This window comes from Homo sapiens, chromosome X (assembly GCF_000001405.40).
Source record: "Homo sapiens chromosome X, GRCh38.p14 Primary Assembly".
Lineage (NCBI taxonomy): Eukaryota > Metazoa > Chordata > Mammalia > Primates > Hominidae > Homo > Homo sapiens.
This window is the reverse complement of record NC_000023.11, coordinates 24,556,719-24,583,176: the sequence shown is the minus strand read 5'-3', so window position 1 is coordinate 24,583,176 and position 26,458 is coordinate 24,556,719. Positions and strand designations below refer to the sequence as shown.

The window sequence follows — 26,458 nt, the reverse complement described above, 5'->3', positions numbered from 1 at the left end:
TCTGACTTAGTCGTGGAAGTCACACAGAGTTACTTTTGCCACGTTCATTTGGTACAAGCAAGTCACTGAGGCCAGCCCAGATTCCAGGGGAAGGGAATTGGGCCATCTTTAATGCACCACAATGCCCTTTCCAAATTGAATAGTCAGGTAGCATTTTACTTGCCCTAGTAGCACAGGCTAAGACTCGATGTAACTTTTCCTATGTGCAAGGACCCTTCCTTGTGCTCCATCAAATCTGCTCTGCTGATTCCTTAGCAGGAGGGAGAATCACAGTAATGATCTATTTGGGACCCAGGTAGAGAAGGCCAGAATTCATCATGGGAGAAAGATGCTCAGAAATGGCCTCAGCATCCATATTTGGCTTTCATACTCAAATCATGGCTTATTTTGAAAGTCAAAAGTCTCTTTAAATGAAACCAGAGATATCAAGGGCATGACTTAAGCTTTACAACACTCTGCTCTGCTTGTCAGAACTATGTGTCAAAATCCTCTAGCAAAGCTGGATGAAAAGATGGAGCTTAAATTAAATAGACTGTAAGGTCCACATTACTCATCACCATTCTAATATTGCCTACTACTGTTGAAAGTTTCCTTCATTAACATGTGCTTTGCTGCTTCTTAAAATAGCTCCATAACCAAATGCCGCAATTCTGAAAAGCATGATAAAAAAGGTTCTCTGATCATGCTCATTACCGAATATTTTTAGCAGAGCAATAATTAGGATTTGAAGGAAGCCGGGTATCTCATTATGTCAACAGAGGACTTGGCTTCTTTCAGAGACCTACCTCCCAACCAGCCAAAGCAAATCTCTCCCTAAGCCAAATCTACTTTCAGTTACTCAAACACAGAGACTTCACCTTCTGGCTTCAAAGAAAGGGTAAGCTCATGGCATCAATGTCTTACATGACTTGCTAAAATCCATTAGTCACTAGAGAATCGTCTTATTATTTCAGCAGGAGGGGTGTGGGTAAAATATCTGCCTGCTGAAAGATGGGATGGATTTCTCACCAGAATGTTCCCCACTGTTCCCACAAAGGTGGGGATGTCGTCTGAGGGTTCCCCCACCCACCAGAGCCTCCTGCACAGCTGGGTCAATTTGGGTGCTATTTATGTTCGTGTGTTTAGATGGTTACATCTTCTGCCTTCCATTTGGTTTTCCGTGTTAGATTCTTCCCTCCTAGAAAGTGATAAAAGAAGTGTTTGGCCTAGTGGCAAACCCCAACTGTCCTCTGACCATGGAACATAAGAAACTGGATGTTTTGTCTCTAACATCAGCAGTGCCACTCTGCTACTGATACTATAAATGTGCAAATGACATCAAAAGAAAGCTCCAAAGAGACACCCTCATTGGGGCTGCAAGATGGAAACATTCAGAGAGAACTGGGTTTGGAAGGGCACTTAGAGATCAATATTCATCTAGTCATTCATTCAAGAAATATTCCTATGGTGCCTGTTTGTCACCCAGTGCTGAGAATGTAGAAGAGGACGAGAAAGGCATGATCCCTTCCCTAGTGTAGCTTATAGTCAACAAGACAGTTGTTGAACAAGTTATTTTATAAAGATCTTGCTGTATTTGGAGGGAAGGGGAGTGGTCCATGGGAAGGAACAACACACCAGAAGACCTAGTCTGAGGGTTGAGATATTTGCTTGAGGAAGTGACACTAAAGCTGAAGCCCAGTGGATGCCCAGGAGTTAACCAGGTAAAGATTGTGTCTGTGGCAGAGTGAGGGGAGGGGAACCAACCCTTTCAGGACACTGAAGAAACCCAGCATGGCTGGGCTGAGGCAGGGTCAGCCTACTGCACAGCTCCACAGAATACAACAGCAGTCCCCCCCTGCAGTTGTATAGCAGGGGGGCCTTGGTTTAGGGAGTGAAAGGGAGAGGGTCTGAGATAAAATTGGAGAGAAGCACAGGGAAGAGACATGCAAGCTACTGCACAGCCAAGTTAAGGATTTGACTCTGAATCCAGAGAAGAGCAGAAAGCCAGTGGAGGGTTTTGAGCAGACCTCTGACTTGCATTTAGTAAGAATGCTCTGTAGAACTTGCTCTCTGGGTTGAGGCAGACAAAAATGACATTGCTGGAGACTGGTTTTGAGGTTCTTGCTGTGATCTTTGACCAAGATGGTGTTGAATTGGTTTAGGATGGATGAAAGTGAGTGAATTAGGGAAACATTTAAGAAGTAGATTGGGAACTTGGTTGGATGTGGGAAGTGAGAGAGAAAGAAATGGCACAGATGAGTCCCAGGTCATCATGTCCAATCACCTTTTTCTCAGCTGAGGAGACTACAGTTAAGTAACTCGCCTTCAGAGGGTTTGAGTGACTTGCCCACGTCTACAAACCAAGAACCCAGTGCCCTTGTCCCCAGGCTTTGTCCATACTGTCCCATGCCTGATGCCTCTGACTGAGTTGCCGTAATGATATGGGATAGAAAGATCTCAGTTGCCAACAACATGTCATTTCAGTTCACAACAGAAGTGTAAGCATAAACCTGATTCTTGCCTTTGTTAATATTTGTGACCTCTTTATAGCTCTATATCTGTTGATATACCCACATTTATCTTTGAAGACTTTAAGGAAGTTCTATTAGAACTTGGCATCCTCTGTGCTTGTTTATTTTTTACTCAGCCCCACATATTCTAGATGAAAGGGCCTTTGAGTGGTGAAACTACCATGTACAGTAGACTGTTCTTAGGAAGATAAATCATCTAACCATCCCTACAGGCATGCCTTTAGATCAGAGACGACACAAATAGTACACTTTTTCTTCTTTTCCTTTAGTATAATGTGAGCAGACTTCCTTGGAGATGAAGCAGAGTTGCTGTGATCTAATTCATTGACTCAGTTGTTAGTCTTCATTTACTTTCTCACTCAATTTCCATTTATTGAGCACCTTCCATGTGCTAGACACAGGGGCTGAGGTGGGTGCTGGGGATGCAAAGACAGTTAAGGCACTATCAGTGCTTTCAAAATGTTCATTTTCTACATGGAGACAAATATTTAATTTTTTTTGTTTGTTTGAGACAAGGTCAGGCTGGAGTGCAGTGGCGCAGTCACTGCTCACAGCAGCCTTGATCTTGGACTCAAGTGATCCTCTCACTTTAGTCTCCGAAGTAGCTGGGACCACAGGCGTGCACCACCACACCCAGCTAACTTTTGTATTTTTTGTAAAGACAGGGTTTTGCCATGTTGCCCAGGCTGATCTCGAACTCCTGGACTCAAATGGTCTGCCTGCCTCGGCCTTCGAAAGTACTGGGATTATAGGCATGAGCCACCATGGCTGGCCCAATATTTTTGTTAATGAAAGATAAGTTAGGTTCTGAATGTTGTGGATTCTACCTGATGACGTCAGAAAAGACTTCCCAGAGGCATAACCTTGAAGCTGGACTTTGCAGGATGAGGAAGAGCTTTGCAGTTAATATGAGCAGGGAGGGGGTATCCAGGGCAGAAAGGAAAGGCTCAGCATGGATAAACAGCAGGGGCCAGGCAAGTACATGGTATGTCCTGGAAACAGGTCTGGGATGATGAACATGTAGCATTTAAGGTAGAGAGGAATTCCACGGAACTGAGGGTGGAAGAGTCACTTGGGGCCAGACGTAAAGTCTTCATTGGCATACCCAGGAGCTCCAACTTTGTCCTGTAAAGGGGGACCATTAAAGGAGATGGGTCAACTGAGGTGATCTTAATTTTTCCTCTATCCGCTCTTTTCTACTTGAACAGGGATGTTCGTTCCAACGCAGAGAACAGAAGGCATCTCAACATCGGACATCATTACCAGAATTGTTCGTGACTATGATGTTTATGCCCGACGTAACCTCCAGAGAGGGTATACAGCCAAGGAACTGAATGTCAGCTTTATAAATGTAAGCATGCCACCTCAAACCCTCTGAAGACCACCATGCCACACCACCACCACCAGTGCTGCTGTTTATTGAGCACTTACTAAGTGCTATGCAGTGTTCTCCCTCTCTCTCTCTCTTTTTTTTTTTTTTGTGTAGAGATGGGGTCTCACTGTGTATAATATTTTAAGTTTGATTTAACTTGTTTTTTTTTTTTTGAGACAGGGTCTCACTATGTTGTCCAGACTGGTCTTGAACTCCTGGGCTCAAGCGATCCTCCTGCCTCAGCCTCCTGAGTAGCTGGGATTACAGGCATTTGCCACCATGCCTGTGCAGTGTCCTTAACGCTTTGTATTTATTTTCTCATTTAACCCACACAATAACCCATGATGTATTATTATCCCCATTTTACAGATGACAAAACCAGTATCTACAGGGGTAACATAAATTAACCAAAGAACACAGGTAGTGAGCTTCACATTTTATAAAGGTGCTTCCTTGCTTCCCTCCTCTTACCCCAAACTCTCTCTTTAGAGTTTTTAGACTTGATTGAAGGGTTTCTGGGAGATCTGCCCCTTGTAAAAGGCAAGAGTTATCTTCTGCTGAAAGGAAAGGGAGGAGGGAAGAGGCAATGAAAGCTAAACCCAGAGAAACTTTTTTATTCTAACGTTTTAAAATTTTCATTTGATTAAGGCCTTACAGATGCTCATTAGAAACCTTAATGGCCATTTTTCATTGTCCAAAGAAATTACAGCTGCTTAAATAAAGCCTAAAGTCTTTGGCTTCCTTTTGTAGTTCTACCATATTGTTCCCACAGGACTGCTGTTAGTTTAATAATAGAGCAACTGTTAAAACAATATTTCAGTTCTGGCATACATGTGCAGAACATGCAGGTTTGTTACATAGGTATACACGTGCCATGGTGGTTTGCTGCACCCATCAACCCGTCATCTACATTAGGTATTTCTCCTAATGCTATCCCTCCCCTAGCCCCCCACCCCCTGACAGGCCCTGGTGTGTGATGTTCCCCTCCCTATGTCCATGTGTTCTCATTGTTCAGCTCCCACTTATGAGTGAGAACACGCGGTGTTTGGTTTTCTGTTCCTGTGTTAGTTTGCTGAGAATGATGGTTTCCAGCTTCATCCACGTCCCTGCAAAGGACATGAACTCATCCTTTTTTATGTATGCATAGTATTCCATGGTGTATATGTGCCACATTTTCTTTATCCAGTCTATCATTGATGGGCGTTTGGGTTGGTTCCAAGTCTTTGCTATTGTGAATAGTGCTGCAACAAACATACATGTGCATGTGTCTTTATAGTAGACAAAGAACATTAACAGTGACTTAGATTCCCTCAGGATGCCATTTTTATATAATAATAATAATAAAAACAATCTTTAAAATAAGCAAAACAAGCTGTTAAAAAGCAAAGAGGGCAGCCCAGTTGCTGGAGATGATGTTAGTGATTCTGAGCAACTGTATTTGCCTGGGCTGTGAGGTGCCGATATCTTTGATTAAAATAAGAACCCTCCGTACATACAGAATTCTAACCCCCAAAATAGACGCTGTATTTTCAAAGGATGATTCATCTTCAAAGCTAGATACTTAAAATTACATGCAGCTATAATTATCCAATAGCTCACACAATTGATCATTGGTACCTTCAAAATAGGAGGGGCTCATTAATTGTGAATCGTTGATCATGAGTTGTCCTCACAAGGCAGGGAGTGTTGAGAGTCTAGGCTCTGTAACTTCATATAAGCCGGGCAACAAAATGTCAGGAAATGTCGGAAAATGTCAGGTTTGAGTGGCACTGGAACAAGTGGCTGAACATAATTCAGTCAAAGTGATTATTTAGTATCTGATAGAGAATAAAGCCCTGGTTATTTCAATAAATTAAACTGTCTGTTCTTTCAAATTGAATTCGGTCAACCATCCAAACATGTCAAGCCATTTTCAAAAGTTATTGCTCACTCTCTTTAAACGGCGTTTAGATAAGCCACTTAGCTCAAGGAACCGTGCAGGCAGTTCGGATGCACTCACTGCCTTCCTGTGACGACAAACCTGGCTGCAGTTCAGAGATGAAATCTAATGTGTTGCATGGGCGTGTAGACAAATCACGGAACCTCAGAGGTGACAGGGACCTGATGCCAGTCAGTCACCCAGTCCAAGTCCCTCAATTTAGAGATGAGGAACGCTGAGCCCAGAAAGGGAGCCTGGCCAAGGTCCTTCAGGTCAGGGAGAGGTAGAGGCAGCAGCAACTCCCCAGTCTCATGACTCCCAGCCCAGTGCTCATTCAGCTATTCTGTGCTGCCCTGAGAGCCATGTATAGTAACTATTTCCAGTGCAGAATGAACTGTGGAAAAGAATGATATAAAGGCAACAGCTAACATTTGCCAAGAACTCATCATATGCTCATCTAAGTGTTTTACTTGGATTATCTCATTTAATCCTCATGATGGGCCTACAAGGGTGGGTAGGATGACTATGTCCAACATAGAAATGAGGAAACAGAGGCCCAGAGAGGTTGAACAACTCACCTAAGGTCACCTAGTAAGTAACGGAAGACAGAGTGACCTCCCATAGCACATATATGTATATATATAGCTCTCAGTAGCAACACACATAGCTCATGCCCCAGCCTGAGGCTGCAGGAAGGTTTGGAAGGTCGAAATCAAGGACTCTTTACCCAGTTTTGCAATATTCCAGGTGTTTCAAAAACTTCCGAAACACAGGCCAGGCACAGTGGCTCATGCATGTAATCCCAGCACTTTGGAAGGCCGAGGCGAGTGGATCACTTCAGGTCAGGAGTTCAAGACCAGCCTGGCCAACATGGTGAAACCCCGTCCCTACTAAAAATACAAAAAATTAGCCGGATGTGGTGGTGTGTGCCTGTTATTCCAGCTACTCAGGAGGCTGAGGCATGAGAATCGCTTGAACCCGGGAGGCAGAGGTTGCAGTGAGCTGAGATCATGCCATTGCACTCCAGCCTGGGCAACAGAGCGAGACTCCATTTCAAAAAAATAAAATTCTGAAACACAAAATGAACTTTAGTCCCACATAGTAAAGAAAAATGATAAGCCTTACCCCTTTAGGAGAAACATCATGATTTCATGGGGGAAGAGCCACATGTTATTTTCATGGTTTTAATACTGCTCTCATCAGGTAACACAGACAAATGCCTCTGCCACTTAATACTAATGAAACAGCCAACATACACTGAGCATTTACTAAATGCTGGCCTTTGTGCCAAGCACTTTGCATGCATTGTCACAGCAACCCTAAGGTAGGGATGATTATTATCCCCAATTTACAGATGAGAAGACTGAGGTTTAGAGGTGATATGTGACTTGCCCAGCATACGATGGTTTCCAAGCACATAAGTAGACATTGCTGCAGAAAGACTATAAGAAGAACAAAATCTGAGTCTAGAGAAACTATCAGCACAAAAGCTTTCATCACCACCAAGGAAATCAATACAGTTAAATTAGCATAGTGGAAAATATTACAGTGGAAATTTTAGTATAACACATAGGTTCTAAGGCCCAGTTAATGGCCCACTTATTTCAAGCAATATTGTTTTAACCATATCCCAGTAAAACAGCGAACTCAGGCAGCTTCTGAATAGTCATTGTGTGCACAATTCATACTTTTGTCTAAGTCCCAGCAGAATTGAATGGGGTTATTTGCCCAATATCTATGCACAACAAAAGACAACTGTGTGTTTTTTATTCTCCTCTTATATAAGTGAATCCAACTCAAAGACATTTAAAAGAAAGAAGATATTAAAACCACTTGTAGTTCCCTTTACATATCCAAATGGATTAATGGCAGATGACTTTTCTTACAAGAGATGTGCCTTTCCATCAACCTAGCCCTTGGGAAATGGCAACATCTTGACTCTTCAGGTTAGGAACAAATACAAATTGGAATAAAATATGAACTTTAATGTGAATGATTGATCTCTCTCATGTCCTCTTGGATAAATCTGTTTTTTTTTTTCCTGTAAACTTTCACCAGGAGAAGAGGTACCGTTTCCAGAACCAAGTGGACAAAATGAAGGAAAAAGTCAAGAATGTGGAGGAAAGATCAAAGGAATTTGTGAACAGAGTGGAAGAAAAGAGCCATGATCTAATTCAAAAGTGGGAAGAGAAGTCAAGGGAATTCATTGGCAACTTCCTAGAACTGTTTGGACCTGATGGAGCATGGGTATGTAATGATTTCACTTTACCCCACAATGATGAGTGTTTTCAGTTTATCCTCCTTTTTATGGAGCCACTCAAGGGTGCCCCTTATCTCAGATCCACTGCATGCCCTCTACTTTAGGCATCAGCCTGAATGACTTCAAGTCCATGTCACTTCCTTACTGAGTTTCTGCTTTACTCGTCAATATGGCACCCAGTAGCACACAAAGCCACGTCTGGTTTCAGTTTCTAGTTCTTATCCAGAGCTTGGAAGCCATCTGGTGATCACTTGAGTGTCTCTTACTTCAGGAGTTGATGCTGTCGCTCATCTCAGTCTCCCAGTTGGGGATGATGAAACTTTGGGAGTACAGATGAAGTGGGCTAGTGGCAGCACGGAGCTTGTGTTACAAGACATGGATCATGGGATCTTGGATCAACTACTGGCATTTATGTTTTGGGGAGGAGAATCCAAAGAAATGTACTCTGTCAGTCAGTTTTTCTTGTGAGGAGCCCTCCTCTTTTACTGGTTGCAAGACAGAGAGAGAAGAAGTAGGAGTTTGCCCTGCATCTGTGCCCATCGTGCCCTGATTTTCCCCTGGTTTTTCATGACACGCAAGTGTTGGGATAAGGCACAACAGTCTTTGGGGACTGAGGACATGATCTGAATCTTAAAACTGAGAGGAAATGTAGAGGGTCTCCTTGCCTAAAATCTGAACAACTTTGAATGATAACTATGGAAAGGGAAAAGAAAATTCTGGAAACCTCCACTGGTACTTTATTGGTATTTCTATTGTGCATGCCCTTCCCAAGTAAATACCAGTATTATCAGGAGAGTTGATGAGGGGTCTGTAAAAGAGATTCGAAAAGTTTACTTTAGAGACGCTAAAGGGTTGACGAGGGTTGTATGAAAGAGATACTAAAAACAAAATTTCCTCCTACAACAAAAAGAAAAAATTCCATTTGATTTCTCTGATTTTAAGTAGCCTGGATTTCCTATTATAATATGAGAAGTCTCTACCAAAATCCACTTTGACTTAATTATTTTATTGACGGGTTGTCACTGCTACCTCTGCTTGTTTGAGCTCATTCATTATAGGATTATCTAAAAGTGAAACACTCAATTAGTAATAGAAAAAGAACAATGTTTGGGAAGTTGGGAGAGATGCTTTGCTTAACACCTGGCAGCCTCTAAGTGATTATAGACGTGGGTGTTATAGGCCAACCATGTCCTATCGGCTGAGTCTGAGAGGGGTGAAAGGTTTACAAGGACTGCATGAGCCTTCAAAGACTCCTAGAAAGAGCTGGCAAGAGTGGAGGAGCCAAGGGCTGGGCTCCTTTTCATTTTCCCCAGGCCTGTTAAAAATTTCAGCTCAGATAAGTTAATTCCTGGTACATTTCTTAATGTTTTTGTCTATGCATGGCACTATGCATAAAGAAGAACATAAAAACAGACAAAGTACAGACCCTGTTCTCTCGTCTCTATGACATATGGTATGAAATTTTCTATTTAATCTAGTGTGTATTTTAATAGTTCACATTTTCACAACTAATTTCCAGGCTCTAAAGAAACAACTAGTGGTTTTTAATGAAACCATGTAGGTGTTCATTCGTTTACAGGGATTCAGAAACCTGTCTCTGCTGATAAGAGTTGGTATAGTAACTCAAGAGGGTGGATGTTTTCTCCACTTGGAGTGAGTAAAGGCAGGGAAAAAATGTAATTTCCCACTTTGGGAGGCCGAAGTGGATGGATTACCTGAGGTCAGGAGTTTGAGGCTAGCCTGGCCAACATGGTGAAACCCCGTATCTACTAAAAATACAAAAAAATTAGCCAGGTGTGGTGGCGCGTATCTGTAGTCCCAGCTACTCAGGAGGCTGAGGCAGGAGAATTGCTTGAGCCCAGGAGGCGGAGGTTGCAGTGAGCCCAGATCATGCCACCACACTCCAGCCTGGGTGACAGAGAGAGACTCTGTCTCAAAAATATATATATATATGTGTGTGTGTGTGTGTGTGTGTGTGTGTGTATGTGTGTGTATATGTGTGGGTATATATGTGTGTGTATATGTGTGTATATCTATGTGTGTGTATTTCTGTGTGTGAATATATGTGTGTGTATATGTATATATGTGTGTATGTGTGTGTATATGTGTGTATATATGTGTGTGTTTGTATATATGTGTATATATATGTGTGTGTATGTGTGTATATGTGTGTGTGTGTATATATATATATATATATAATTTGATGAAAACTTTATAGACCTTAGTCATTTCAGGCTCCCAGTGAAGGTGAAATAGTAGCTGGAATTGTTCTTGGGAGTCTGATGACAGCAAGCCAAGGTGATTTTTAAGAAATGAAACCCAGTTTAGAGACTGGAGGTTTTTCTTTTTAAAACTTGCTATTAGTGTCAAAACTGTTATTACCATTAATTTACCATATCAGCCAGACTAAGACATTACTTTTTTTCTGTTGACGTTAAAAATACAGGAATAGTTACAAGGATGTTAAACGCCAAGATAAGTAATTTGCTTTTCATGAATATGCTATTATTATAATAATTCCTTATTTGTGAATTTGGGACTGGAACTCATTTCTTAAAATAGAAGATCTGTATTACCGGCAAATACAGTACTGTTACAAACAACCCAAACTTGGAAAGGCACAAAATAGAAGGATTTAAGATACAAGTTCTGGTACAATGAGATAGGTATGCAGCATAGTATGTAACTTATAGTGGGTATTCCACAAATGTTTCTGGGTTAAATGAATGTATGAATGAATGGATGTATGAAGAAGACCTATTCACAGAACCTTCCAGCATCTGCAAAGGATTTGTGTGCTAAAGCCTAAATCCCCCACCCCATATACGTGTGTGTGTGTGTGTGTGTGTGCGCGCGCGTGTGTGTATGTAGACAGATAGATAGATGATAAGCAGATAGATAGCCTTAGCCTTTTATTGCTTATGGTGCTAGGTACAGGACTTTATTACAACTTGGTGTTTGGTGGATCAAATTCAGTACACAGACGTGGTGTGCTTTGCCCTTAACAATGTTTTAAAATTTATTTTAGGGAAGGCATGAGCTCTTGTTTGCCATAGTCACACCTTGCTCCGCTGCTCCTTTCCCCTCCCCTAACCTGACTCACACATTTATGCAGCCCATCTGGCCCCAGGGAATATTTGAATTTGCTCCTTGTGGTATAGTCTTTTTTAAAGCAGGGTCTCACTCTGTTGCCCAGGCTGGAGTGCAGTGGCATGATCATGACTCACTGTAACCTCAAATTTCTGGGCTCAAGCAATCCTCCCACCTCAGCCTCCCAGATAGATGGGACTACAGGTGTGTGCCACCATGCCCAGCTAATTTTTAAATTTTTTGTAGAGATACAGTCTTACTCTGTTGCCCAGACTGGAGTGAAGTGGTGTGATCATGACTCACTGTAACCTCGAACTCCTGGGCTCAAGAGACCCTCTTGCCTTGGCCCACCAAGGTGCTGGGATTACAGGCATGAGCCACTGGGATTACAGTGCCTGGCCATAGTCTTTTAAGTCTCCCCAAGTGACCTCATATTTGACATTAAGGATGCCAATATAAAATTGAAGCCCTTACATGCTATCTCTGAGTAGAAAGTAGTGATGATGATGATGATGATGATGATGATAGTAAATAAGAAGGTGATGATGATGATATTGTCTAAAAGTTGTATGGCAGGTTGAATTCTTTTTTCAATGTCCTTGCACATTTATTCTACCCATTTTATTTACTTATTTATTTTTATTTATTTATTTATTTTTGAGATGGAGTCTCACTCACTCTGTCACCCCAGGTGGAATGCAATGGCGCGATCTCGGTTCACTGCAATCTCTGCCTCCCGGGCTCAAGTGATTCTCCTGCCTCAGCCTCCCGAGTAGCTAGGACTACAGGCATGTGCTACCACGCCCGGCTAATTTTTGTATTTTTAGTAGAGACGGGGTTTCACCATGTTGGCCAGGCTGGTCTCAAACTCCTGACCTCAAGTGATCCACCCACCTTGGCCTCCCGCCACCCATTTTAATCACACAGGAAGGTACATTTTATAGATAAATATATAGATATAGACAAAGGCCTACAAAATTATACGATGAAACTTTCCCGTGGTCTCACAGGAGTTGGTAGGCGGTAGGATGGAGCCTGGGGCTAGCCTCTTTCTCCTGGTCATGTCTGTATCCTTCACCATAGGAATGTCCACATGATGCAGTCATTTTGCTTCATTTTCCTTTGGTCGGGGTGTGTCACTGTAGAGAAACTGAGGTCTACCAACATCCCTCTAAGGCCTTTGACAATGCCAGTTGCCAGAATTGTGCTTGAGACCAGGCCATCTAGATTTATGATAGGCACTCTCAGCCCTCCACTGTACTGCTGTCTCTAGGCTTTCTCAGCAAACAGAAAGTGTGGTATCCATGCCTATTAGTTAGCTTTTGGTGGTAACAAATTACCTCAAAACTTGGTGGCTTAAAACGACAAACATTTATTATCTCACAGTCTCTGAGGGTCAGGAACCAGGAAGCAGCCCAGCTGGATGGTTCTGACTCGGTCTTTCATGAAGTTGCAGTTAAGACGTCAGCTGGTGGCCAGGCACAGTAGTTCACGCCTGTAATCCCAGTACTTTGGGAGGCCGAAGCAGGTGAATCACCTGAGGTCAAGAGTTCAAGACCAGCCTGGCCAACGTGGTGAAACCCCATCTTTACTAAAAATATAAAAATTAGCCAGGCATGGTGGTACACGGCTGTAATCCCAGCTACTCGGGAGGCTGAGGCAGGAGAATCACTTGAACCCGGGAGGCGGAGGTTGCAATGACTCGAGATTGCACCACTGCACTCCAGCCTGGGGAACAAGAGTGAAACTCCGCCTCAAAAAACAAATTTGTGACAAATATATTCATATATTCATAAACATAAAATGTACCATTTTAACCTTTTTTTTTTTTTTTTTTCTGAGACTGAGCCTTGCTCTTGTCTCCCAGGCTGGAGTGCGATGGTGTGATCTCAGCTCACTGCAACCTCCACCTCCCAGGTTCAACCGATTCTCCTGTCTCAGCCTCCCGAGTAGCTGGAATTACAGGCGTGCGCCACCACCATGCCCAGCTAATTTTTATATTTTTAGTAGAGGTGGGGTTTTGCCATGTTGGCCAGGCTGGTCTCGAACTCCTGACCTCAGGTGATCTGCCTGCCTCAGCCTCCCGAAGTGCTGGGATTACAGGCATGAGCCACTGTGCCCGGCCCATTTTAACCATTTTAAGTGCACAATTTAGTGGGATTAAATGGTTGCATTCACATTGTCCTGCAACCATCACCACCATCCATCTCCAGAACTTCTTCATCATCCCAAACAGAAACTGTAACCATTAAACAAGAGCTCCCTATCCCCTTCTGCCCCCAGCCCCTGGCAGCCAGCCTTCTACTTCCTGCCTCTATAAATTTGACCACTCTATGAACCTCATATGAGTGGAATCATACAGCATTTGTCCTTTTGTGGCTGGCATATTTCACTTAGCATGATGTCTTCAGGGTTCATCCATGTTGTAGCATGTGTCAGAATTTTCTTTCTTTTGAAGGCTGAATGATATTCCACTTTATGTGTACATCACATCTTTTTTATCCATTGTTCCATTGATGGATGTTTGGGTTGATGTGAACATTGGTGTTTGAGTTCTGCTTTCAATTCTTTTGGGTATATACTGAGAAATAGAATTGCTGGACAACATGGTAATTCTATGTTTAATTTTTTTGAGGAGCCGCCTTACTGTTTTCCATAGTGGCCGCACAGTTTTACATTTCCACGAGCAATGCACAGGGATCTAATTTCTCCACATCCTCACCAACACTTGTTATTTTCTGTTTCTTTGTTTTTTTTTTTAAATAATCGTCCTAATTTTAGGCACTGCTAATTTTTAAGATTTTTGATTTTGAGAAAAGAGCTACAAAATATAGTTTGTGGATCTGCATTAGATTTCCCACCTGAGACTTTGACAGTTTAAAAAATTTTATCTTTTTTTAAAAAAAGATTGTTGTTGTTGTTGTTTTTAAGACAGAGTCTTGCTCTGTCACCCAGGCTGGAGTGCAATGGTGCAATCTCGGCTCACTGCAACTTTGCCTCCTGGGTTCAAGTGATTCTTCTGCTTCAGCCTCCTGAGTAGCTGGGACTACAGGCATATGCCACCATGCCCGACTAATTTTTGTATTTTTAGTAGAGATGGGATTTTACCATGTTGGCCAGGCTGGTCTCAAACTCCTGACCTGACCTCAAGTGATCCACCCACCTCGGCCTCCCATAGTGCTGGGGTTATAGGCATGAGCCACTGCGCCCGGCCCCAAATTTTTATCCTTAAACAAAGGTACAAGTAAAATGTGAATAAACATGAAAAGTTTCTTATTATGCAACTGGCTAATTACAAGAGAGGTGGTCATGAGCAGGGGGTCACTCTCTGGGTAGGTGACTTAAGGCAAGTTCATTTGCCTCTCTGGGACTTAGTCATAGCATCAGTAAATGGGGAAAGTAAGCATAGCTGCCACATAGGGCTGTTGCGAGGATTACATTGGTTCATACTTCATTTTTAAAATCTATATTTTTTGAGACAGGGTCTTCCTTTGTTGCCCAGGCTAGAGTGTAGTGGCACAATCATGGGTCACTGCAACCTTGAACTCCCAGGCTCAAGCGATCTTCCCACCTAGGCCCTCTCCCCACTCAACCTGAGTACCTGGGACTACAGGTGCATACCACCATGCCCAGCTAAGTTTTTCAAAATTGTTTGTAGAGATGGGGGTCTCACACTATGTTGCCCAGGCTGATCTCGAACTCCTGGACTCAAGCGGTCCTCCCACTTCAGCCTCCCAAAGTGTTGGGATTATAGGCATGAGCCATCGCACCCAGACTGGCTCACACTTCAACGCCCTTAGAGCAGTGCCTGGCACCTGTGTCGGGCACCGTGTAAGGGTTAGTTGTTATTGATTTGGCCAGAACTGAAGCATGGGCCCTTTTCTCTCCTTGAGTTTCATCTTGCTTACCCAAGGGCCAAACCAAACCAGATCGTACCAGGAACTTTATCATTTCTTTTCGGCAGATAAACCAGAATAGATCTGAAATACTGAAACCTTTAAAGGCATTTGTCAAGACATTTATTGCCCCACTAGATGTTAAGTACTTCTGGTTTTTGTTTGTTTGTTTTTGTTTTTTTGAGATGGAGTCTCGCTCTGTTGCCCAGGCTGGAGTGCAATGGCATGATCTCGCCTCACTGCAACCTCCGCCTCCTGGGTTCAAGTGATTCTCCTGCCTCAGCCTCCTGAGTAGCTAGGATTACAGACACCCGCCACCATGCCCAGGTAATTTTTGTATTTTTAGTAGAGACAGGGTTTCACCATGTTAGCCAGGTTGCTCTCGAACTCTTGAACTCATGATCCGCCCGCCTCAGCCTCCTAAAGTGCTGGAATAACAGGCATGAGCCACCGCACCCGGCCGATGTTAAGTACTTCTTAAAAGGGAAAACTTCATAGGAGAGAAATAGAAAACTACTTTCGTATGGACAGGACTATAAATGGGATTATTTTCTTGAGGGAAAACATTATAAATGGAAACCTCTTAATACAGTGAGAGACTGAATTTAAATACCTTTACTCTTGGAAAATGCCATGCATACTCTTCCTTATTTGTTATATTTCTAAAGTGCTTTTCTTCCCAGGAAGCTCATTACAAACTGTCTCCTGACTGTATTGAATTCCGCTCCTTTGCAAGGGAACCACCCTTCAAAATGCACCAGAAACAGATCAGAGAGCTGGCAAATTGAGGCTGGGAGTTATTTTGCATGGATATTGCATTTTATGAAGTGCGACACCGTTGTTTATCATTAAAGATTCAAGTTCTTTCATCCCCTCAGGCAGAATGTTCTCAGCTATGAGCTTGATTCAAACTATAGTAGACAAGTCGTAGATTTCTTAGAAAGTGAACTTCTAATGGAAATCCTGACAATCCATTAACAGCAGGAGGGCTAATGGCTGCCACAGAAAATATACTTAAAGATTACAGTAATAAAAACACATATTTTAAAGTGCCTGCTAGAAGTTCAAGAATGTTTTTAAATGTTGCTGTTAATAATAGACCACCAAATCCTTATAGCATTTGAATTTGCCTCATAAATGGGTTTAATCTAAGGGAGTGCTGTTGTACTGCACCTTTTTTTTCTGTTTGACTTTGAGGGGGGCTTGATATCTTTTGGCAGAATTATCAATGCCTTAATGGAAGGTAAATAATTGGTATATTAGCAGACGTGTGGAATTTTAAATCTGGAAAAGACCTGAGCAATCAGCCATCATCTGTTATTATATCTGCTAGAGGAAACTTGGGACTCTACAAAGTAACGGGCTAGAGCTTAGAAAGGAAAAATGAGTGTTGGGGGCAGGCAGTGCTATTGGTGATGCGCCTGTGGCCTTAATAGTTCCTTACCAATGTCATTATTGTAACACCTGCCCTTCCGCCTGATCTCCTTGCATGGGTTACATGAGTTCTTTCTTCCTACTGTGATGCTTTTTTATGATAAAAGTAATATATATTCATTATATAACCATTAGAAAGTAAAGAAGGGACTGAAAATCACTCGCAGTCTCATCATCCAGAGCAGTCTCTCTGTTAGCATTTCGGGTTATCACTCCCATCTGTTTCCCATCTCCGTATATGTACATTCCTTCTACAAACTTGAGATCATGCAGAACATAGTGTTCTAAAATCATTTTGGCTTTGCAGTTGCTCATGAGTGTTTTCTCACATGATGAAATATTATTTAAGAACCTGATTCTCCTCATCTGCTTATTATATCATCTTGGAGTTGTACAGGTTTTTCTAACCTAGTTAGAGAATTTGCAGTGTTGTGTGTTATACATTGCATTGAATGTCCATCATACACAATAAAGATTTACTTACATCTCTGATTATCTCCTCAGAAAATAGAAGTTTTTGCATCTATTGCCAAATTCCCCATCAGAAAGGCATTGCTGTTTTATCCTCTTACCAGCAGTAACATGAAGGTAGCCCTTTTCCTGAGCCCTCACTAGCTGTAACAAATTTTTAAAACTTTAGCAATCTGATATATAAAATGTATCTTATTTCAGCCATTTGCATTTGTTCGACTACTAGTGATGCTGAACAGTTTTTCTAGCTCATTTACAAATTTCTCTTGTGACTTGTCTATACAGGCCATATGTTCATTTTTCTACTAAGCTTTTCACCTTCTTCTTTTTGATTTATAAGCTCTGTCTATATACCGAGATCTATCATTTGTAGGTAAACTTTGCAAAAAATTCCACTATTTTTTGCCTTTTTTCTTATTTCATGGTGTTTTTTTTTTTTTTGAGGTACAGAAGTTTTAAAATTTTGTGTAGTCAAATGTCAATGTTTTCCTTTATGGTTTCTTTCTTTGCTTTTATGCTGACACCCAAAGGTATTTCTAAAACACAGATCTGATCAGACTCCGCCCTTGATTAAAATCTTTCTGGGTTTCTTGAGTAGGAAATCCAGTCTCCTTGTGGTGCTCTAGGTCCAGACCATTGCCACCCCATGGGCATTTGGGGTTCTGGCCACACTAAGCAACTTAGACTTAGTACTCCTTACTTAGCATGCTCTGTTTAGAAAGGCCATCCTCTACTAGCCCCCATGGACCCACTCCCCATCTCCACCCACCTCTTCCTGGGCATTATCAAAGACCCAGCTGAGACATGACCACCTCTTCTACCCTCTTCTTCCCCCCCTTCCTCCTGTGTAGCACCTGGTCCCCAGAAGATCTCTGTAACGGTTTGTAAAATGAATAACCCAAAGGACAAGCAAAGCCTAAGATGGTAAATAGGAGAATTGGCTTTCAGGGCCAGTTTTGTATCAAAGGATTGAACTGAGTGGCTGGGGGCTAAGGCTCAAATGTGAGCAATTGAAAGACCCCAGGCAGCACAGGCAGGATGCTCAGGAGTTGGTGGGATGCAGCGTCTGGGAGGCTGAGCAGCAGGCAGCAGGCACAGTAGGCTGGGAGCACTGGGGGCCCAGTGGGGAGCTTCAGGGAAGGGCTCAATTCTGAAAGCACCCAGCAACCATCACATGAGGTCCCAAACTGGTAAACTGATCTTAACCACCGAAACCTCCTCCCACCCCACAGTCTTCCCCAAACTGGGAAATGGCATCACTGCTTTCCAATTTCTTGGACCCGAGACTGCAGTCACTTGATTCCCGTTCCTCCCACACCCCATGTCCCATCTGTCAGTGAGTCCCGTTGGCTCTACCATGAAAACATAGCCAGACCACATACTGTAGGATTCTATTTTGATGACATTCTAGAAAAGGCACAACTGTAGGGACAGAAAACACATCTGTTGCCAGTGGCTGGGGGAGGGGAGACTCCAAAGGGTCATGAGGGAATTTGGGAGCTGATGGGACCCTCCTATGCCTTGATTGCAGTGGTGGTCACTCAACTGTATGCATTGTCAAAACTCACAGAACTGGCCGGGCGCGGTGGCTCACACCTGTAATCCCAGCACTTTGGGAGGCCAAAGTGGGCGGATCACGAGGTCAGGAGATCGAGACCAGCCTGGCTAACACGGTGAAACCCCGTCTCTACTAAAAATACAAAAAATTAGCCAGGCCGGGTGGCGGGCGCCTGTAGTCCCAGCTACTGGGGAGGCTGAGGCAGGAGAATGGCGTGAACCCGGGAGGCGGAGCTTGCAGTGAACCGAGATCGCGCCACTGCACTCCAGCAAGACTCTGTCAAAAAAAAACAAAAAACAAAAAAACAAAAAAACAAAACAAAACAAAAACTTAACAGAACTGTACACTAAAAAGGGTGAGTTTATTATACCTCAGTAAAAATATGGGGGAAAATATACTAGGAATCCTGCCATTTTTCAGCACACTGCCATCATCCCGGGCCGGGCCAGGCTCCATCACCATCTTGGATTTTTTTTTTTTTCTCTTGAGACGGAGTCTCACTCTGTTGCCCAGGCTGGAGTACAGTGGCGCCATCTCGGCTCACTGCAACCTCCACCTTCTGGGTTCAAGTGGTTCTCCTGCGTCAGCCTCCCCAGAAGCTTGGATTACAGGTGCCCACCACCCTGCCCAGCTAATTTTTTGTATTTTAGTAGAGAAAGGGTTTCACCATGTTGGCCAGGATGGTCTCGATCTCCTGACCTCAAATGATCTGCCCGACTTGGCCTTCAAAAGTGCTGGGATTGCAGGCATAAGCCACCGCGCCTGGCCTTGGATTCTTATTGCAACGGGCTCATAAGTGGGCTCCCTGTTCCTGCCCCCGCCTCACTGCCATCTGTTCCCAACACAGCAGTCAGAATGGTCTTTTGAAAACAAGCAGCAGATTGTTAATCCTTTGCTCAGAATTCTCCAGAGGTTTCTCTTCTCAGAGGAGACTGTACGTGAAACTGCCGCCTGATATGTCTCTGGCCTGATCTCCCGCAGTGCCTCCCCCTCTCCCTTCCCCACCAGCTCGCTCCATACTGCCACGATGGCCTCCTCCTCTCCTGGGACCTGTTGCATGGGTCCCCTCAGACTGAAAGGCAGAGTTCTCACAATGGCTGCCAAGGCCCTCCATGGCACAGCCCTCTGTGCCTTCTCTGGCAACCTCTTCCCAACCGCCTCCCTCAGCTCCTCCCCATCTATCAGCCCTCAAGGCAGCCGCGGTGCCCTGCCTGCGCTTCCTGGGTGTGCGTTCCATGCTCCTTTCTTGGGGTGCTCTGTCTGGAGTGCGCTGCCCTCTGATTTCCATTCACCTGGTCCCTCCCCTTATCTCTTCCAGGTTCTTCACTCAAGAAGCGTTTTCTCAGTGGGGCCTTCCCCGAGCACCCTGTTTGCAATCGCAGCTGCCCTGCTCCCAGCCCCACTTGCTATCCTCTCGCCCTCTTTTTCTCACAGACCACAGATCCATCTGACATACCATATTTTGTTTATTGTGTGATTCCTCCTCATATCTGTGAGGGTATGAGGTCAGGGGTTTTGTTTTCTGCCACCCCTCCAGTCCGTAGGTCATGACTACTTGCCTGGCTAGTCAGAGACACTCAGTTAAATTTTGTAGATGGAAGAAAAAAAAGGAAGAAGGAAAGAGTGTTAAGAACCAGTGGTAGCTGGGCATGGTGGCTCACGCCTGTAATCCCAGCACTTTAGGAGGCTGAGGTGGGTGGATCACCTGAGGTCAGGAGTTCAAGACCAGCCTGACCAACATGGTGAAACCCCGTTTCTACTAAAAATACAAAATTAGCCGGGCATGGTGGCGGGCACCTGTAATCCCAGCTACTTGGGAGGCTGAGGCAGGAGAATTGCTTGAACCTGGGAGGCTGAGGTTGCAGTGAGCCAAGATCATGCCACTGCACTCCAGCTTGGGTGACAGAGCGAGACTCTGTCTCAAAAAAAAAAAAAAAGAGAAAAAAAGAACCAGTGGTGACTGTAATCTTCTGTCACTACCCCTGAATATCACTCGGTTCCTTACTATACATAGTCTTGGACAACACGGGATGTGGTATGAGTGTAGGTTTGTGGGCTCAGGAGTTTTGGGGTAGTGGCTCTCCTGCCTGCCTTACCTTTTTGTTTTGCTGCTGCCTCAGATTGCAAAGTTAACAGATGCCTTCTCTCCAATTTATCTTTAGAAGCAGATGTTCCAGGAGAGGAGCAGCCGGATGCTGCAGGCCTTATCCCCGAAGCAGAGCCCTGTGAGCAGCCCAACCCGGAGCCGGTCCCCTTCCCGCTCCCCATCGCCCACCTTCTCATGGCTTCCACTCAAAACCTCACCCCCTTCCTCACCCAAAGCAGCCTCAGCCTCTATCAGCAGCATGAGCGAGGGGGATGAGGATGAAAAGTAGAGGCTGCTGGGAGGCAAGAGCCGCACCATGCAGGATGGGGAGGAGGGCGAGAGTCACAGGGTTGCCTGGGTGGTGTTTGAAGGGTAATAGTCACAGGAGCTGCAGCTCAGCAGAGAGACCCTGAACTCTGCTAAGGGAAGGTCTTGGGACCAGTTCTCTCTCACTCTCCGTACAGCTGAAGAGTTGGGCGAGGTGCAGAGACTTCTAGCTGGACAACCTACACAAACCTTAGCGTCTAGAGTCACTCTAACCTTGCTAAGGAAGGATGCAGAGTTCCCTAGAGAGACTTGCACTGATGGGGTGACTTCTGCTTTGGTCCTTCCACCACCCCCACCAAGTAAACCACCTGTGGCAGCGGCTGTTCCCTCAACCTGCTACTTCTGCGTCCATAAGGGTCCTGCACGTTGCCTCCCACCACCCCAGCTCTGCCAGAATAAAATTGTTTCCAATAGAGGTGGCAAAGTGCTTCTGAAATAGTCGAGAAAAAGACAGATTCCAACCTCCTCAGTCCAGCCACTGAGACCTGATGTTGGAACGCATCAGCTCCTTCCAGTTCCATGAATGTGGCTCATAGACAAAGCCTTGCTTTAGGCTGGTTATAAAAGGTCATCTAGTGTGAACCTTAACTTTTTATTCAAAGGACAGTTTTGTCAAGAACTCCACGTAAGGCCTGATGTGCTCCTGGTTGTACTTTCTCATCACTGGTTTGACTTCATTGTTTTGCAGAAATTACCTTAATCCGTGGGAACTGCAACAAAGAAAAACTTCCTAATATATAAAAAAGAGGAGCTGCTTTGCTTTGCCTCCAGGTTTAGCGGACAAGAAATGTCTCCTGAAGCTTCTCCTTAAAGGATGCTATTATGGAATGGCTTTTCCCATTTCTGACCAGTTAACAGTTTCATAGACCTCAAGTAACAGTTTGAGGTATCAAACATAGTATACCAATAGGGGGTGCTACCTGCACGTATCTGTTCTATATATGCTCCAATATGTCATCCCCGGGTGTATCCCATGTGCAATATGAGTATATAGTGGTGGCATTTTATAATAGACCCCACTCCTGCGCTCCACCATAATACTCCTCTGAAATCCTTGGTCTCAAGAAACATCTGTTCTCTTGTGACTTGGGCACTTTGTCAAGCTTATTCCAGATTCCTGTGGAAACGTTTTATCCCAACCAGGAAATTAGTATTTTGTTCTCGTGGCCTCCTATAACATTTTTGGGTGAAGGAGAACTCAAGACTTTTTACAGAGAACTGTGGGCTCAGTTATGATCTCAGCATCTGAATGGTCTAGGTAGTATCACCATTATCTCTGGCCCTAGGTTTGCCAAGTAGGATGAAGACTCTAAGTGTTCCTGCTGAGTTGTCCAAAGGTCCTGCTCCTTAGTCACCTGTGCGAAATGAGCAGGGAGAGTTAAGGCATAGAACCAAACTCTTTGGGTTATTGTATGGGTATGCCAGTAAATTCAGACACAGAGCTGGGGTCTGACTGAATAGAGGCCCAAACCAGCAACTTGTAGGCAGAGCCCAGAATCTCTTGTGATAGAAATACCCCTTTTCAGAGGCCTTGGGAACCAGCCTTCTAGGTGACAAGGGGACAACCAGTGAAGGAAGGCGGCATGTCTTTCCCCTTCTTGTTGGGGTTGAACTACCTCCCTATCCACTTGGAGATGAGTGCTGTCTGCTGTGAAGCAAAACTATGAGGCTGAGCTGGCTTGGAACCTCTTTGTTCTTGGCACTTTCCTTCTCCAGGACTCTGGGAAGCACTCATATGGGACAGAGGGCTGGCAGGAACATGGCATGTGAAGAAGAAAACTTCTTTTTGCAGTCAAGGGCCACCCAGAATATTGCTCTTCAGAGAGGGACAAGGGCCTCATTCTTCCATTTGGTCTCTGTCTTCCATCATGCACTCAGGTCAAGCCATGCAAGTCTGCCTACCATTTGAGTTAGTTGGCACTTGTAGCAGTGAAGGATGAGGCCAGCCAGGCAAGGGAAGGTGGCGGGAACAAGGGAAGAGAAAAGGAGGAAAGAAGTTCCTGGAGGGAGGAAAGGAGGATAAAGAAAATCTGCTCTCATAAAACCATTTCAGGACCTCACTTTACAGGTGAGACTCTCTTGGGAAGGCCTTTGTGCCCCTGCTCCATGGCCCAGGGCAGATAGATTCACTTTTACCTGAATCTTATACTCTGGAGCAAATAGTGTATCAGGCTGACTATACATTTGCAGGCCTTACACGCCATACTGACAGGTGCCACTTACGTGACTCATCAGATAATGTCACCATTGCTGCCAATTATGGGAAATAACTAATGCCTATTCCAGGGATGAGCCCAAACCACACATAAATGGGTTCTAAATCTCACCCTCCTAACCTGCAGTGAGTCCCCCCGTTCCACCCTCTTGAGGCTGCAAATCTACTGAGAAGGAATGGGAAGGATTCTACAACCCAACTTTTGATACTTTTTGGCCATCTCTCAGTCTCTCCCAGCCCCTACCCCCACACCACCTCCCTGCTCCCAGGCAGAGACCGGGTTGCACTTTGTTAGGGCCAGCAGGTCAACTGTAATGGCCAAGAGTGAGTTAAGGCTGGAATGAGAAATATGCCCCAAGCTTGGAGGGGTAAGCAGGAATAACACAAAGCAAGGAAAGAGATTCTTTTTGCCCTAGTGAGGAAAGGAAGCTTCAGAATGAGGGCTGGAGGATAGCAACTTAGGACTGCAGAAGGGGGCAGCTTATGAAGATGGGAGAAAGTGGGACTGAAGTTGTAGGGGAGCAGGAGGGTAGTGATTTTCCGCTTTTCTTTCTTTCTTTCTTTTACTTTCTTTCTCTTTCTTTCTCTCTCTCTCTCTTTCTTTTTCTTTCTTCTTTCTCTTTTTCTTTCCTCTTTTTCTTTCTTTCTTTTTCTTTCTCTTTCTTCCTTCTTTCTTTCATTCTTCTTTGTTCTTTCTTCTTTCTTTCTTTTTTTTTTTTTTTGAGATGGAGTTTTGCTCTTGTTGCTCAGGCTGGAGTGCAATGGCACAATCTCGGCTCACTGCAGCCTCCACCTCCCAGGTTCAAGGGGTTCTTCTGCCTCAGCCTCCCAAGTAGCTGGGATTACAGGTGCCTGCCACGACACCCAGCTAATTTTTGTATGTTTAGTAGAGACGGGGTTTCACCATGTTGGCCAGGCTGGTCTCAAATTCCTGACCTCAGGTGATTCTCCCGCCTCGGCCTCCCAAAGTGCTGGGATTATGAGCACGAGCCACGGCGTCCAGCCGATTTTCCGCTCCCTTTCAAGTGTTAACTCACCCCCTGACAGGTGAAGAGGGAAGGGTTCCTTTTACGCACAACCAAGGTTAGCAAATGCCCATGCAGGATATGGGGTCCCTGCCTCTCTGGTTGCTTCATTTCAGCACTTCTATATTAGCTGCTTATGGGGACCCTAAAATGAACTGGTCACCCCTCCACCAGCTAAGAAACAAGGGTGGGATTGCTGTGCCATAAGTCACACTGAACGACTTGCTTCTGGCAAGCATGCTCCTGTGTGTCAGGACCTTACCAAGGCAAAGAAATGCCAGGCTCAAGAGGAGCAGGACGTGAGACATTGGCCTGGCTTCTAACCTGGTCTGAGTGGAAGAGACACAGCTTAGGGATTTCAGTTTTGCTCTTAGGCTACTAGATACTGTTATTTCACCCCCTGAGGGAGGGACAGGAAGAGCACGGATTTATTTTCTCTCCGTCTTCAGTACTTATTTTAGCATCTAGTCATACCCCAGGGAGAGATGCGAGACGGTGTCACTGGCTCAGCTGAAGCAGATGAGCCCGTCTCTAGCAGAGATGTGCCTGTTTCTTAGGCATCCGTTCAGCACTAGTCTTGGCCATCAGATTTTTAAAAAAGAAATAGCTCATGAGGCATTTGCAACTTCTCCTCTCTAGACTTCTTTCTAGTTTTCCTCTGTTGTGTCACTGCGATGTGTCCAGGGACAAAGCCATAAGTAGAGCATACATACTTAAGACTATGCTGTACATATAAGACAAGACCTGTCTGGGTTAAAGCACGACCTTATGCCCAAGCATTTACTCTGGTGCTGAATAACGCGAACTACTGGAATCAGCCTCCCCCAACTCTGCGCGCCCCCTGCCCCCCTGCTCCTATCCCATTCTTGCTCTCAAATGGACCACACCATTCTCAACTCGTTTATAAATAAAGGGATGCAGAATTGCACTTTCGTGTGTCATTGTCATGTTTCTTAAGTGTGCTGCTGTGTGTTCCTATTTATGAACTAGCTCAATGGGGAAAAATACAGGCATTGCAGCAGCTGTCCTGGCCCACCGGCTGGCTCTGCCCAGCTGTGGCCCCAGCCCTTCAGAAGGATGTGACTGTGCACCGTGCAGAGCAGGGCAAAGCCTTGGAGTTGCCAAAGGCCCCACATTTGACTTGAAAGCTAGTTAGGAACAGCACCACGTGGAGGGAAGCTCACATGGTGAACCCAGTCAGGACCCTGCATTGTAGGCTCCACTACTAACTGACTTTGTGACCTTGGCCTAACCTTTTCACTTCTTTGGCCTCAAGGAAATTATTTCTAAGGTCTCCTTTGCCTGTAAAGGTCTCTGAATGTATGAGGCAGGCTGCATTGCCCCAAGCTTCTACCAGCTGTGATGCTGTCACTGAACGACCATGAGAAAGTACTGAACTCTCACGGGAGAGGTGGTCTTCCAGTCCCCTGGGGCCTCCACAGCCGCATTGGTGACTGGTTTCATGCCTTCAGCCTCCACACTTCTAGCATCAAGATAAAAGGCTCTAGAGTTCCATCCACTTTTCTTATCTTGTCACTTGACGGAATGCTTCCCAAGTGTACCTAAACTTTGGGAAGTGGCCATTTCAACCACTTTTCCATCTTTGGGGAAAAAAAGCTTCTTTGATCAGCTAGACACAGATAGATGGGGGTGGACGCACTAAATCTGGATCCCAAATGTCAACAGCTAAGGCAGATGTCAATATTCTGAGAACTGTGCTGGTGCCCTCCACTCGCCAAATTAAGGAAATTCCATTAACTCCATCTGGAGAGGTTGCGCTTTTTGAAATGACCACAGTTCTGACATTAGCCTCGGGTCCAGAATAAATAAAGCCAGGCTGGTAGTCAGCAAGGGAATGAATTTTAAAATGGAATACCTATTATTCGTACACCATACTATTTGGTTTCACCACATAGATCAAATGCATTCTTGACAGGTTGTATTTCAAGCAACAGTTACAAGTTTCTTCTTGACTTCCATGATGCCTCAGACATGTTCTCAAGGGGAAAACAATCAGTTACAAGGTGTACTAAAACCCATATTTAAGAACCTTGATATTTGCCCCCAAGAGAATTAGCCTTTGTTAATGAACATAATTCCTGGGGGAAAAGGTACACTATCAAAAGTGTTCCCACACATATCACACACACACAGTCCTCTTGTCTTGGAGTCTTCATTGGTAACTGGAGTTGAATGTTTAGGCAACTTCTCCAGGTATTCAGCAGGAACTATTAGATTAAAAGGACTCCCATAGAGATGCTTTTGAGACAGAGTGTGACAGTTCATAAGCATCAAA

At 44.4% G+C, this 26,458-nt stretch overlaps 1 protein-coding gene across 4 annotated transcripts in view, besides 1 other annotated feature; it reads left to right on the top strand.

Annotated features, from left to right (window-relative positions):
* The window catches only part of PCYT1B (phosphate cytidylyltransferase 1B, choline), a 114,801-nt gene extending 89,711 nt beyond the window's left edge, over positions 1–25,090 (top strand). For 3 of the 4 annotated variants that reach the window (NM_001163264.2, NM_004845.5, XM_017029977.2), the window contains 3 exons: positions 3,719–3,861; positions 7,859–8,047; positions 20,672–25,090. In NM_001163264.2, the coding sequence (NP_001156736.1) occupies positions 3,719–3,861; positions 7,859–8,047; positions 20,672–20,884 (545 nt within the window). In that variant the 3' untranslated portion in view covers positions 20,885–25,090. The remainder of the gene's footprint in view (positions 1–3,718; positions 3,862–7,858; positions 8,048–20,671) is intronic. The other variant, NM_001163265.2, reaches the window with a different exon arrangement.
* Positions 21,759–21,918: a silencer, noted in NCBI's record as "silent region_20720". NCBI's record gives its function as "represses an Ori minimal core promoter by ATAC-STARR-seq in GM12878 lymphoblastoid cells {active_cell/tissue: GM12878}" and the evidence as "EXISTENCE:reporter gene assay evidence [ECO:0000049][PMID:35858748]".